This window comes from Homo sapiens, chromosome X, assembly GCF_000001405.40.
Source record: "Homo sapiens chromosome X, GRCh38.p14 Primary Assembly".
In the NCBI taxonomy this organism is placed as follows: domain Eukaryota; kingdom Metazoa; phylum Chordata; class Mammalia; order Primates; family Hominidae; genus Homo; species Homo sapiens.
The window spans coordinates 82,547,009-82,561,557 of NC_000023.11; the positions used below are offsets into that span (position 1 = coordinate 82,547,009).

At 37.9% G+C, this 14,549-nt stretch overlaps 1 non-coding gene across 1 annotated transcript; it reads left to right on the forward strand.

The window, feature by feature from the left end:
* Positions 1–14,192: 14,192 nt before the first annotated feature.
* On the forward strand, positions 14,193–14,339 carry LOC124900496 (small nucleolar RNA SNORA4). Its single transcript, XR_007068426.1, has one exon. It is a non-coding gene; the product is annotated as a small nucleolar RNA SNORA4 (small nucleolar RNA).
* Positions 14,340–14,549: the final 210 nt, after the last annotated feature.

Consider the following 14,549-nt stretch of genomic DNA (forward strand, 5'->3'; position numbering starts at 1 on the left):
GTCTTTATAGCAGCATGATTTATAGTCCATTGGGTATATACCCAGTAATGGGATGGCTGGGTCAAATGGTATTTCTAGTTCTAGATCCCCGAGGAATCGCCACACTGACTTCCACAATGGTTGAACTAGTTTACAGTCCCACCAACAGTGTAAAAGTGTTCCTATTTCTCCACATCCTCTCCAGCACCTGTTGTTTCCTGACTTTTTAATGATTGCCATTCTAACTGGTGTGAGATGGTATCTCACTGTGGTTTTGATTTGCATTTATCTGATGGCCAGTGATGACGAGCATTTTTTCATGTGTTTTTTTGGCTGCATAAATGTCTTCTTTTGAGAAGTGTCTGTTCATGTCCTTCACCCACTTTTTGATGGGGTTGTTTGTTTTTTTCTTGTAAATTTGTTTGAGTTCATTGTAGATTCTGGATATTAGCCCTTTGTCAGATGAGTAGGTTGTGAAAATTTTCTCCCATTTTGTAGGTTGCCTGTTCACTCTGATGGTAGTTTCTTTTGCTGTGCAGAAGCTCTTGAGTTTAATTAGATCCCATTTGTCAATTTTGGCTTTTGTTGCCATTGCTTTTGGTGTTTTAGACATGAAGTCCTTTCCCATGCCTATGTCCTGAATGGTAATGCCTAGGTTTTCTTCTAGGGTTTTTATGGTTTAAGTCTAACATTTAAGTCTTTAATCCATCTTGAATTGATTTTTGTATGAGGTGTAAGGAAGGGATCCAGTTTCAACTTTCTACATATGGCTAGCCAGTTTTCCCAGCACCATTTATTAAATAGGGAATCCTTTCCCCATTGCTTGTTTTTCTCAGGTTTGTCAAAGATCAGGTAGTTGTAGACATGTGGCGTTATTTCTGAGGGCTCTGTTCTGTTCCATTGATCTATATCTCTGTTTTGGTACCAGTACCATGCTGTTTTGGTTACTGTAGCCTTGTAGTATAGTTTGAAGTCAGGTAGTGTGATGCCTCCAGCTTTGTTCTTTTGGCTTAGGATTGACTTGGCTATGCGGGCTCTTTTTTGGTTCCATATGAACTTTAAAGTAGTTTTTTCCAATTCTGTGAAGAAAGTCACTGGTAGCTTGATGGGGATGGCATTGAATCTATAAATTACCTTGGGCAGTATGGCCATTTTCACGATATTGATTCTTCCTACCCATGAGCATGGAATGTTCTTCCATTTGTTTGTATCCTCTTTTATTTCCTTGAGCAGTGGTTTGTAGTTCTCCTTGAAGAGGTCCTTCACGTCCCTTGTAAGTTGGATTCCTAGGTATTTTATTCTCTTTGAAGCAATTGTGAATGGGAGTTTACTCATGATTTGGCTCTCTGTTTGTCTGTTATTGGTGTATAAGAATGCTTGTGATTTTTGTACATTGATTTTTTTTTTGTATCCTGAGACTTTGCTGAAGTTGCTTATCAGCTTAAGGAGATTTTGGGCTGAGGCAGTGGGGTTTTCTAGATATACAATCATGTCGTCTGCAAACAGGGACAATTTGACTTCCTCTTTTCCTAATTGAATACCCTTTATTTCCTTCTCCTGCCTAATTGCCCTGGCCAGAACTTCCAACACTATGTTGAATAGGAGTGGTGAGAGAGGGCATCCCTGTCTTGTGCCAGTTTTCAAAGGGAATGCTTCCAGTTTTTGCCCATTCAGTATGATATTGGGTGTGGATTTGTCATAGATAGCTCTAATTATTTTGAAATACGTCCCATCGATACCTAATTTATTGAGAGGTTTTAGCATGAAGGGTTGTTGAATTTTATCAAAGGCCTTTTCTGCATCTATTGAGATAATCATGTGGTTTTTGTCTTCGGTTCTGTTTATATGCTGGATTACATTTATTGATTTGCGTATATTGAACCAGCCTTGCATCCCAGGGATGAAGCCCACTTGATCATGGTGGATAAGCTTTTTGATGTGCTGCTGGATTTGTTTTGCCAGTATTTTATTGAGGATTTTTGCATCAATGTTCATCAAGGATATTGGTCTAAAATTCCCTTTTTTGGTTGTGTCTCTGCCCAGCTTTGGTATCGGGATGATGCTGGCTTCATAAAATGAGTTAGGGAGGATTCCCTCTTTTTCTATTGACTGGAATAGTTTCAGAAGGAATGGTACCAGTTCCTCCTTCTACCTCTGGTAGAATTCGGCTGTGAATCCATCTGGTCCTGGACTCTTTTTGGTTGGTAAGCTATTGATTATTGCCACAATTTCAGATCCTGTTATTGGTCTATTCAGAGATTCAACTTCTTCCTGGTTTAGTCTTGGGAGAGTGTATGTGTTGAGGAATTTATTCATTTCTTCTAGATTTTCTAGTTTATTTGCATAGAGGTGTTTGTAGTATTCTCTGATGGTAGTTTGTATTTCTGTGGGATCAGTGGTGATATCTCCTTTATCATTTTGTATTGCATCTATTTGATTCTTCTCTCTTTTCTTCTTTATTAGTCTTGCTTGAGGTCTATCAGTTTTGTTGATCCTTTAAAAAAACCAGCTCCTGGATTCATTAATTTTTTGAAGGGTTTTTTGTGTCTCTATTTCCTTCAGTTCTGCTCTGATTTTAGTTATTTCTTGCCTTCTGCTAGCTTTTGAATGTGTTTGCTCTTGCTTTTCTAGTTCTTTTAATTGTGATATTAGGGTGTCAATTTTGGATCTTTCCTGCTTTCTCCTGTGGGCATTTAGTGCTATAAATTTCCCTCTACACACTGCTTTGAATGCATCCCAGAGATTCTGGTATGTTGTGTCTTTGTTCTCGTTGGTTTCAAAGAACATCTTTATTTCTGCCTTCATTTCGTTATGTACCCAGTAGTCATTCAGGAGCAGGTTGTTCAATTTCCATGTAGTTGAGTGGTTTTGAGTGAGATTCGTAATCCTGACTTCTAGTTTGATTGCACTGTGGTCTGAGAGACAGTTTGTTATAATTTCTGTTCTTTTACATTTGCTGAGGAGAGCTTTACTTCCCAGTATGTGGTCAATTTTGGAATAGGTGTGGTGTGGTGCTGAAAAAAATGTATATTCTGTTGATTTGGGTTGGAGAGTTCTGTAGATGTCTATTAGGTCCGCTTGGTGCAGAGCTGAGTTCAATTCCTGGATATCCTTGTTGACTTTCTGTCTCGTTGATCTGTCTAATGTCGGCAGTGGGGTGTTAAAGTCTCCCATTATTATTGTGTGGGAGACTAAGTCTCTTTGTAGGTCACTCAGGACTTGCTTTATGAATCTGGATGCTCCTGTATTGGGTGTATATATATTTAGGATAGTTAGCTCTTCTTGTTGAATTGATCCCTTTACCATTTTGTAATGGCCTTCTTTGTCTCTTTTGATCGTTGTTGGTTTAAAGTCTGTTTTATCAGAGAGTAGGATTGCAACCCCTGCCTTTTTTTGTTTTCCATTTGCTTGGTAGATCTTCCTCCATCCTTTTATTTTGAGCCTATGTGTGTCTCTGCACATGAGATGGGTTTCCTGAATACAAAACACTGATGGGTCTTGACTCTTTATCCAATTTGCCAGTCTGTGTCTTTTAATTGGAGCATTTAGTCCATTTACATTTAAAGTTAATATTGTTATTTGTGAATTTGATCCTGTCATTATGATGTTAGCTGGTTATTTTGCTCGTTAGTTGATGCAGTTTCTTCCTCATCTCTATGGTCTTTACATTTTGGCATTATTTTGCAGCGGCTGGTACTGGTTGTTCCTTTCCATGTTTAGTGCTTCCTTTGGGACCTCTTTTAGGGCAGGCCTGGTGGTGACAAAATCTCCAGCATTTGCTTGTCTGTAAAGTATTTTATTTCTCCTTCACTTATGAAGCTTAGTTAGGCTGGATATGAAATTCTGGGTTGAAAATTCTTTTCTTTAAGAATGTTGAATATTGGCCCCCACTCTCTTCTGGCTTGTTGAGTTTCTGCTGAGAGATCCGCTGTTAGTCTGATGGGCTTCCCTTTGAGGGTAACCTGACCTTTCTCTCTGGCTGCCCTTAATATTTTTTCCTTCATTTCAGCTTTGGTGAATCTGACAGTTATGTGTCTTGGTGTTGCTCTTCTCGAGGAGTATCTTTGTGGCGTTCTCTGTATTTCCTGAATCTGAATGTTGGCCTGCCTTGCTAGATTGGGGAAGTTCTCCTGGATAATATCCTGCAGAGTGTTTTCCAACTTGGTTCCATTCTCCCCGTCGCTTTCAGGTACACCAATCAGACGTAGATTTGGTCTTTTCACATAGTCCCACATTTCTTGGAGGCTTTGCTCATTTCTTTTTATTCTTTTTTCTCTAAACTTCCCTTCTCGCTTCATTTCATTCATTTCATCTTCCATCGCTGATACCCTTTCTTCCAGTTGATCGCATCGGCTCCTGAGGCTTCTGCATTCTTCACGTAGTTCTCAAGCCTTGGTTTTCAGCTCCATCAGCTCCTTTAAGCACTTCTCTATATTGGTTATTCTAGTTATACATTCTTCTAAATTTTTTTCAATGTTTTCAACTTCTTTGTCTTTGGTTTGAATGTCCTCATGTAGCTCGGAGTAATCTGATCGTCTGAAGCCTCCTTCTCTCAGCTCGTCAAAGTCATTCTCCATCCAGCTTTGTTCCGTTGCTGGTGAGGAACTGCGTTCCTTTGGAGGAGGAGAGGCACTCTGCTTTTTAGAGTTTCCAGTTTTTCTGCTCTGTTTTTTCCCCATCTTTGTGGTTTTATCTACTTTTGGTCTTTGATGATGGTGATGTACAGATGGGTTTTTGGTGTGGATGTCCTTTCTGTTTGTTAGTTTTCCTTCTAACAGACAGGACCCTCAGCTGCAGGTCTGTTGGTGTACCCAGCTGTGTGAGGTGTCAGTCTGCCCCTACTGGGGGGTGCTTCCCAGTTAGGCTGCTCAGGGGTCGGGGTCAGGGACCCACTTGAGGAGGCAGTCTGCCCCTTCTCAGATCTCCAGCTGCGTGCTGGGAGAACCACTGCTGTCTTCAAAGCTGTCAGACAGGGACATTTAAGTCTGCAGAGTTTACTGCTGTCTTTTTGTTTGTCTGTGCCCTGCCCCCAGAAGTGGAGCCTACAGAGGCAGGAAGGCCTCCTTGAGCTGTGGTGGGCTCCACCCAGTTCGAGCTTCCAGGCTGCTTTGTTTACCTAAGCAAGCCTGGGCAATGGCGGGCGCCCCTCCCCCAGCCTCGCTGCCAGCTTGCAGTTTGATCTCAGACTGCTGTGCTAGCAATCAGTGAGATTCCGTGGGCGTAGGACCCTCTGAGCAAGGTGTGGGATATAATCTCCTAGTAGGCGGTTTTTTAAGCCCATCGGGAAAGTGCAGTATTCGGGTGGGAGTGACCCGATTTTCCAGGTGCTGTCTGTCACCCCTTTCTTTGACTAGGAAAGGGAACTCTTTGGCCCCTTGCGCTTCCCGAGTGAGGCAATACCTCACCCTGCTTCCGCTCGCGCACGGTGTGCGCACCCACTGACCTGCGCCCACTCTCTGGCGCTCCCTAGTGAGATGAACCTGGTACCTCAGATGGAAATGCAGAAATCACCCGTCTTCTGTGTCGCTCACGCTGGGAGCTGTAGTCCGGAGCTGTTGCTATTCGGCCATCTTGGCTACTCCCTCCGAAATTTGATCTTAAACTGTTTTTTTTTTCATTTGCAACAGCAACTAGTGCAAAACTAGTGGGTGTTTTTTTAATAGTTACTGATAGATGTTGTAAAATTAAGAATTCATTTGCCTTAGATAATTAACTTGCCATTGAATGCCTACTCCATGTCAGATATCTTGGTTACAGAATAAATAAAAAGATTCTTGAGTTTCTGGTAGTATTTTACATCCTAGTAGAAAAGATAGTCTTGCAGACAGAAAATTTAAACCATGTGATGAGTCCTAATAGAGATGTACACAAGTGCTGTGGGAGGCTTATATGCAAATGAATGTATTGGAAAGTTAAGAAAAGCTTTATGGAAACAGTAAAAAGAAACTTGAAGGATGAGTATAAATTCTGCAGGTAAAGAAAAAGGGGAAAGGCGTCCTTGGTAGGGAAACAATACAGGCATGTGAAAGAATCATGAAACAAATGATATTTGCTGCAATATTTGACCAGAAATAATAAAGTACAGCTAGAGTGTACCTGCCTGATGTAGTTTGGCTCTATGTCCCCACCCAAATCTCATCTCCAGTTGTTATCCCCCCGTGTCAAGGGAGAGACCTGGTGGGAGGTGACTGGATTATGGGGGCAGTTTCCCCAGTACTGTTCTCTTGATAATGAGTTCTCACAGATCTGATGGTTTTATAAGTGGTGGTTTCCCCTGCCCTCTCTCTCTCTCTCTCTCTCTCTATCCTGCCACCTTGTTAAGAAGGTGCTTGCTTCCCCTTTGCCTTCTGCCATGATTGCACGTTTCCTGAGGCTTCCCCAGCCATATGAAACTGTAAGTCTATTAAATCTCTTTTCTTTGTAAATTACCCAGTCTCAGGGAAGTTCTTTATAGCAGTGTGAAAATGGACTAATACACTGCCAGAATAGACACTAGAAGAAACAGAAGAGCTAAGCAGAAACTTTGTACTACAAAGTCTTGTATTCCAGACTAAAAAATGTGAATTTTCATTTTATAAAAACTGAGTAGTGATTCTGATTGTGAGCAGGTTTAAAACAGGATAAATGACAGTCCTGGTTGGCCAGGGACTATCCTGGTTTTAGCACTGACAGTCCCATGCCATGGAAATTATCTCAGTCTCAAGCAAACTGGTACAGTTTGTTTTCTGCTGTGAGAGTACCAAAGTTGTATTTTAGAAAGAAAACTCACTATAGCTTTAATGATAACCCTCTTGTAGGGGAATAAGAAAGATTCTGAAAGCAGGAAGATACTTGCAATTTCAATGTAGGATTTCCTCTTCAATAACCTCAATTGAGTGAGAATCATTATAGTTAATTGTTAACAGTGCTCTGTCACACAATTCAAGATATTATGGCCTTAAAAAGAAGCAACCAAACAATACAACTTTAAGAGAGATTATCCTGTATTTAAAATCATGTTTATTATTTCTGATGAGTGGTTAGGACTTTGCTTTCATTTCTCCAACCTTCCTGAAGGGCATATTATAACACTAACTTTTCCATGTCTAAAAATTGCATAAACTTTTTCACCATGTAAATTTGGGTAAATTCAAAACGTGAGGAATTTCATAAATATGAGAATGTACTTTATAGACAGAGGAGTGTGGTTACACACAGAGTTTTCACAAAAATACAAATTTGCCTTGTTTTGTTTTTCACTTTTATCTGGAATAGGGTTTTTTTTTGTGTTTACTGAAATAATAGTGCCCATAAAGTCTTATAAAAGAATGAAAATTTAAAAGATTTGAAGTTGTAAAAATGAGGCAGATTAAGCTATAATTTCAGGATATGGATAAGCTCTGAGAACTAAATGGTTTAGTGGTTTAATAGAGACTCAAAGAAGAAAAAGAATCTTGAGCAACTTCTTTCAAAGGTGGAACTTTTATAAGGTTCCATGAAGAGCAAAGTATAATGACAAACATATTTTTAGTAATATTAAAAACTATAATGTAATTCAAGCTCATGGTAAAAAGACAATCACACATTATAGAAGGATATGAAATTAGAAGTAAAACTCACCCCCAGCACAGTTCTACACCTTAAGGGAAATAACTATAACTTTCCAGAAATTGTACTTGGGTTATACAGACATATCTATGTATATTCTCTTATTTTCACAAATGGAACTTTATTCCATGTACTATTCTGCAAAAGAAGGCTTTCTTTTAGCATTCTAGTTAAAACCTGGGCCTCATTTGAAATTTGTTCCTTGTGTATTAAGTTTCACAGACTGAATATTTAACAAGCTTAGATTATGAATAGACAGGGCCATGAATCAGTTATTTTTCAGTGGAAATTGCTGTTTTCCTTTTTCTCATCTTACTACCTAATCCCTAAGCAGTCAAATGGACCAGCTGTGCAATAAATCTACATTAGCTAAAAAAGATAGTCAAAAACATTATTTTGGCTCCTTTTTGATCTGGTACATTTTTATAAATAGAAATGACCACAATAAATGCATTCATTCATTTTACAAATGTTTATTAACTACCTACTGTGTACTTGACACTATTCTAGATGTTGGGGATAAACACAAAAATTTATATTAATAATACAATACATTAATAATAATTATAATTACATTCATTATTATAGTCACATTTTTCAGTCTACATTATCATTCCAAAAAATATAAAAACTGTTTTTTGTTGCTCGGGGATTCACTTGAAATTCATATTTACTTTGAGCCAACATTTTCTCTGAGTTCTAACATCTTTTCCATGTTAATATCAACTACCATCCAGTTCTTAGTATTTTTATTAATTAAAGGCCATAGTTTATTTAGGTTTCCTTAGTTTTTACTTAATATCCATTTTCAGTTTCCCAATCTCATCCATGAAGCCACATTATATTTAGTTAAAATATCTCTTTAGATTCTCCTTAGTCGTAATATTTTATTTTTAAAAATATGTTATTGAGAAAGAAATCACATAACAGAATTAACCATTTTAAAGTGTCCAATTGAAAAAAAGGGCAAGATGACCAACTAGATGCAGCTAGGAAGTGCCACTCTCACTGACAGAGACTGGGATTTGGACTAAACCACTGTAATTTGAGAAGATCTTTAGAGATAAAATGCCAAATGCAAATGGAGAAAAGAGGCATATGTTGAGGCTGAAGAGGGAGAAATTGAGGAACCCTATGTGGGGGGCTTGAATGCTAGGGCTGATTCCTGGACCTGAATGATCCTGGGGAAGGGAACATAGCTGGAAATATTAGGAAACACAAAAGAGCCACGTGGTTGAGTAAGAGCCTATTTAGCAACAATTGCTCTTAAGTGCTGTCTACAGGTAACACAGGCCAAACTAACAACAGCAAAAAACACTTCGCTACATCACCCCCCATGAGACACCAAGATCAAAAATTCAAAAACAAAGACCTTGTATAGAGGCTTGAAATGGAACCAACTTACTGTACTCAATTTGCACTGCAGCTGAAGGAACAACAGCCCTCCCAAATGAGAAACAATCAGTGCAAGAACTCTGTGAATTCAAAAAGCCAGAGTGTACCCTTACCTCCAAACAAGCCTACTAGCTCCCCAGCAATGGTTCTTAATCAGTCTAAGATAACTGAAATGACAGACATGAAATTCAGAATCTGGATTACAAGGAAGCTCACGGAGATCCTGGAGAAAGTTCAAACCCAATCCAAGGAAGCCAAGCAATCATTATAATAATTCTAGAGCTGAAAGATGAAATTTCTATTTTAAGAAAGACCTAAACTTAACCTTTTGAGCTGAAAAATTCCCTATGGGAATTTCATAGTACAATTGGTAGTATTAAGATCAGAATAGACCAAGCTGAGAAAAGAAACTCACAGCTCAAAGACTAGTTCTTTGAATCAACTCATTCAGACAAAAATAAAGAAAAATTAATTTTAAAAAATAAACAAAACCCTGAAGAAATATGGGATAATGCAAAGAGACCAAATCTATAACTTCTTGGCACATCTGAAAGATGTGCCATTTTATGCTAGATAAGGCCTGGGGACATGTGAAATTAGCTCCCTAGCTATGCAAAGAATGTTATAAAGAAAAGATATTTTATATAAAAAAGGATCTTGTATGGTAAATTCTTGTCCTAAAATAAAGTGATTGGTTCTTTAAAAAACGGGATGTTTAGGACAAGTCAGAAAATCTAAGCATGTCACAGATGGTCTGTGTAAGTTGTGAAAGGATTTCTGAAAGGGAATTTATGCAAGAAATGTTGTACAATTTGAAGGTTGTGAGGCCTCCTAAATGTTTCATAAAATGCCACTATGACTCTTAACTGTACAACCTACCTGCTTTACAGCTAGATAAGGCCTGGGAACATGTGGAGTTAGCCACACCCCTTAGCTATGCTGGAAAGAGTCAGACTTTATCTGCACTTTTGACTGGCATCCTGGGTTACACACCTGGTACATAAATAAAATCACTTACAAACCAGGTTTTTCACCAAAAGTAATAGTTGCTAAGAGTTAACAGTGTAACATGTATGTGAGACTACTGAAGAAACAGTTTTACAAACAAGCCATGTAAGGAAAGTAGAATGTGCTTTTGGTAAAAGATCATGTAAAGATGGCCTGGCACAGTGGCTCACGCCTGTAATCCCAGCACTTTGGGAGGCCAAGGTGGGTGGATCATGAGGTCAGGTGTTCAAGACCAGCCTGGCCAACATGGAGAAACCCTGTCTCTACTAAAAATACAAAAATTAGTTTGGTGTGGTGGTGCACGCTTGTAGTCCCAGCTACTAGGGAGGCTGAGGCAGGAGAATCGCTTGAACCCAGGAGGTGGGGCTTGCAGTGAGCCTAGATTGTGCCACTGCACTGTAGCCTGGGTGACAGAGTGAGACTCCATCTCAAAAAAATAAAAAATAAAAAATAAAAGATTATATAAAAGCATGGGAATATGAATTTCTCATCTAAGTTCAGAGGGTTAAGTTGTGTTAAGTGAGGCAGAAAAAATATAAAGGTTTAAGCAAGTTGTGGTAGGTTTATTTTAAAAATTACGGTGTATAAATATATTGGCTAAAGTTAAAGGAGTATTATTCAGTTTTTCCATAAATTGAACATTGGAATAAAAGCATAACAGAGTTTTTTACAACATTGTTCTGCTGTTTAACAAAAAAAATTGTAAAAGTTTATAAAAGGTTTATGAAAATCTTACCTTATCATCAAATTAATTAAAACTGTTACTAAAAATGTTATTAAAACTAAATTTAGCATTAAAGATGCACAAATGCAAACATAAAATATGGTTTTCTATTTTGAAAATGATTTTTATGTAATATTAAAAGATAATGAAAGGTTTTTGTTTGCCTTTTAAGTAAACTAAACAAAAAAGTATGAAGGGAGAGAGAAGAGAGATTCTGGTGGCCTTATACTATCTTCATTGAGTCTTATTGTTTGGAAAGCTGAGTCCCCTCTCTATCAGAGTAAAAGTTTCTCCTTTTTTTAAATTTTTGAGTTATCAGTTTGGTTAAATGAATGACTTATGGTGACCTGGGATTCTATTTTGTGAAATCAAGTGTTTCAAACACAGGAAGCACTATCAAATATAAAATTGTTTTTAACTTTCTATGGGTTATATTTGTATAAAGAGGTTAGTAGTATGTGTTATGAAATTGTATAAGATTCCTATAATTCTGATATGCCTCAGTATATGCTATCAGTAATAATTAAACTTGTTATGTTAAATTATTGTGTGCCACAGAAATAACAAATTTTCTTGTCAATTGTGTCTCTAACTGTGGCTGCCTTAAAATGTTCTTTTCGTCCACAGACAATTGTTGTGTTGTTTTGTTTTGGTCATCTTTAGAAGATGATTTCACAATCAGCTATAAAACATTGACAGGAGCTCTTGAATGCAAGTTTCTTAGATAACTCGAGATTGTGACATTAGAATAAAGGAAATAAACTCTCAGGACTGTCATGGAAAGCTAAAATGTTCATGAATATCAAGCAGAACAGGAGTTGACTTAATGGACTGAGCTGATAGAAAACTGAAGTAACCTTTTTTTTTTTACTTTTATGTTTTGCTAAAAACTTTGCTGATCCTTTTTGTTTTTTTCAGAGCCAAGGAAACTTATTTTTTGAGCTATTTACAGGTTTTAACAACTGAGTAAAGTATACTGCTCTGAAGAAAATTAGAGGCATATTTGCTTCTCTCTATCTGATTTCCCCAGAATTTGGAAACTATGTGAGTATTCTTAAATTATGGCAATATAGTTATTTGCATAAATGCAATAAGAATGTTTTCTTTTACAACAGAACACAATCGGAGAAACTGGTTATTTTACCAAGTCTTTGACTAGAATGGTGTGTTGTCCTTTAAGGAATCAAATTTGACTTATAGAGCAAATAAAAGCCCATTGGGAAAACTGGCCTCATACCTTGTCTATGCAGTTCCTATACAGAGTTCCTGACCTGTGGTAAGTAAAGAATGTCACTTTCTAACAGGCCCAGGAGCCCCAAGTTATCTTGAAACCTCAAGAGGAGAAGAATTTTTACCCAACTCATAGGTATTTGAGGGTAAAAACCCATGGCTTGACTTGGTTTCTTAAAAAGTCTTATCTGAGATTCCTTATGCAACAGAGTTCCATCAGAGCCAATTTAAAAGTCCTATGTGAAAAATAATTACTCTTGCTGCACTCTATGCAAATAATCAGGCTAAGTATAATAAAACTAAAGTTTATTTTGCAAGTAAATCAGCAGTATAATGACTTTTTTTAATAAAAATAAAGACTGGGAGAAAAAAATTGTTTCAATAATTATAGTACACCTGTTGTTAGTTGTTTTTGAGTCTTTATTTTATTTTTTTCTGTACAAGTCAGATTAAATATTTTTGGCTGCCTACAAGTTATCAAACAAATGCTTTAAATCTTTAATTTTAAAACCAGAAATTGCACTCGTTATCCTAGAACTCAGTATTTATAGTACACTGTCCACTTAAATGCTGTATTAAAACTATAGATGAGAATACTAACACCTTTGTCATGAAAGCCTTGGAATCCCAGCCTGGTCTGTGTGAGCAAGCTCAGACAGCTGCAAAACAGTTCCACGTCTCTCACCTTGGAGTCAACCCCTACCCCCACCATGCACCCTGTCAGCAGGAAGAAGCCAGAGCAATTGATAGCCTTTCTCCATCTTCATTGTCCATACCTTAAGAATAAGGTGCTATAAAACGAAAAAGCAGGAATTGAGACCACCTTTGAAAAAATTATAACTGAGGAAATCATGACAGTGATAGAGATCAGACCTAATCAACTCCATCTTGTTTCTCTTTTTTATTTTATTATTTATTTTTTTTTGAGACAGAGTCTCGATTTGTTGCCAGGCTGGAGAGCAGTGGCATGATCTTGGCTCACTCCCTGGTTTAAGCGATTCTCCTGAATCAGCCTCCTGAGCAGCTGGGATTATAGGCACGTGCCACCACGCCCAGCTGACTTTTGTATTTTTAGTAGAGATGGGTTTTCACCATGCTGGCCAGGATGGTCTTGATCTTCTGACCTTGTGATCTGCCCACCTCGCCCTCCCAAAGTGCTGGGATTACAGGCGTGAGCCACCGCGCCCTGCCTCTTGTTTTTAACCTTTAAGCTGTTCTTGTTTATTCTTGGGCATAGGCCACACTAACCTTGGGAAGGAATTCCTTTTATGGTTTGACTCTGAAACGAAATTGATAATAGCTCTTTCCTGAAAAGACCCCTTTCTTGCCTAGGGACCAATCTGCCTTTGCAGGACTAACAAATTAGCTACAAGATTAGAAATTATGCTTCAGGGGTTATGCAGCTTCTGGCTGCAAGAGTCTGAACCTTCCCAAATTGCTCCTGGGGGTAACATTACTACTGTAGAACCTAAGGTCAGTGCTTGAGATATTTTGCAGACCCTGCACTAGATGGATTAGCTGACACCACCCAGAGTGGTAATCTGACTCAACCAGTTCTGCAATCCCAACCAGAAACAGAATACAGTGAGGAAACGTCACTTCAGCCCCCTATGATTCCATCTCCAACCTGACCAATCAGCACTCCCCACTTCCTGAGCCCCTACCCACCAAATTATCTTTAAAACCTTGATCTCTGAGTGTTCAGGGAGACTGATTTGAGTAATAATAAAACTCCACTTTCCTACACAGCTGGCTCGGTGTGAATTATACATTCTTCATAGCAATTCCCCTGCCTTGATAAATAAGCTCTGTCTAGGCAGCCAGCAAGGTGAACTTCTTGGGTGGTTACAATTCCAGTTACTTGGGGGGCAAAGGTGAAGGATCACTTTAGCCTACGAGGTCAAGGCTGCAGTGAGCCATGTTTGCATGACTGCACTCCAGCCTGGGTGACAAAGACATACCCTGTCTCAAAAAAAAAGAGGAAGAAAAAAAGAAACAAAGAACAAATGAAATGAATAGAAAATATTTATAAGGGTGAAATATATCAATCATGTATATTAATATAAATAGAATATTAGTATAAATAATTACTTTAAATATGATGGTCCAAACATACTAACTAAAGATAGAAATTGTCAGAGTGGGGAAAGAACAAAATCAACTGTATATGTCTAAAAGAAAGACACTTTCAATGTAAAGACACAGATAATTTAAAAATAAAGAGGTAAAGAAAGGTATACAGTGTTAACATTTATCAAAACAAAGCGTGTTACCAAAAGTTAATGTTTTCAGAGAATGCTTTGGTTAAAAAGCCTTTACCAACTTGGGCTGTTTGGGATAATAATGTTGGCCACTTTCCACAGTGGGTTATAACATTAATATATATATAAGTCACTATTAGTTTGTAATCTACATTACATAAGTGTAAAAAAAGTGTGAGTAGCTATATTATTTTTTGAAAAGGCAGATTTCAGAGAAAGTGAAATGATCAGAAATGAAGAGCCATTTTTAAATGATAAAGGGTCAATTCTTTAAGAGAATATAACAATCCAAAACATGTACACACCTAAAAAGTAGAGTATGTGAGGCAAGAACTGACGGCACTGCAAAGATAAACAGACAAATC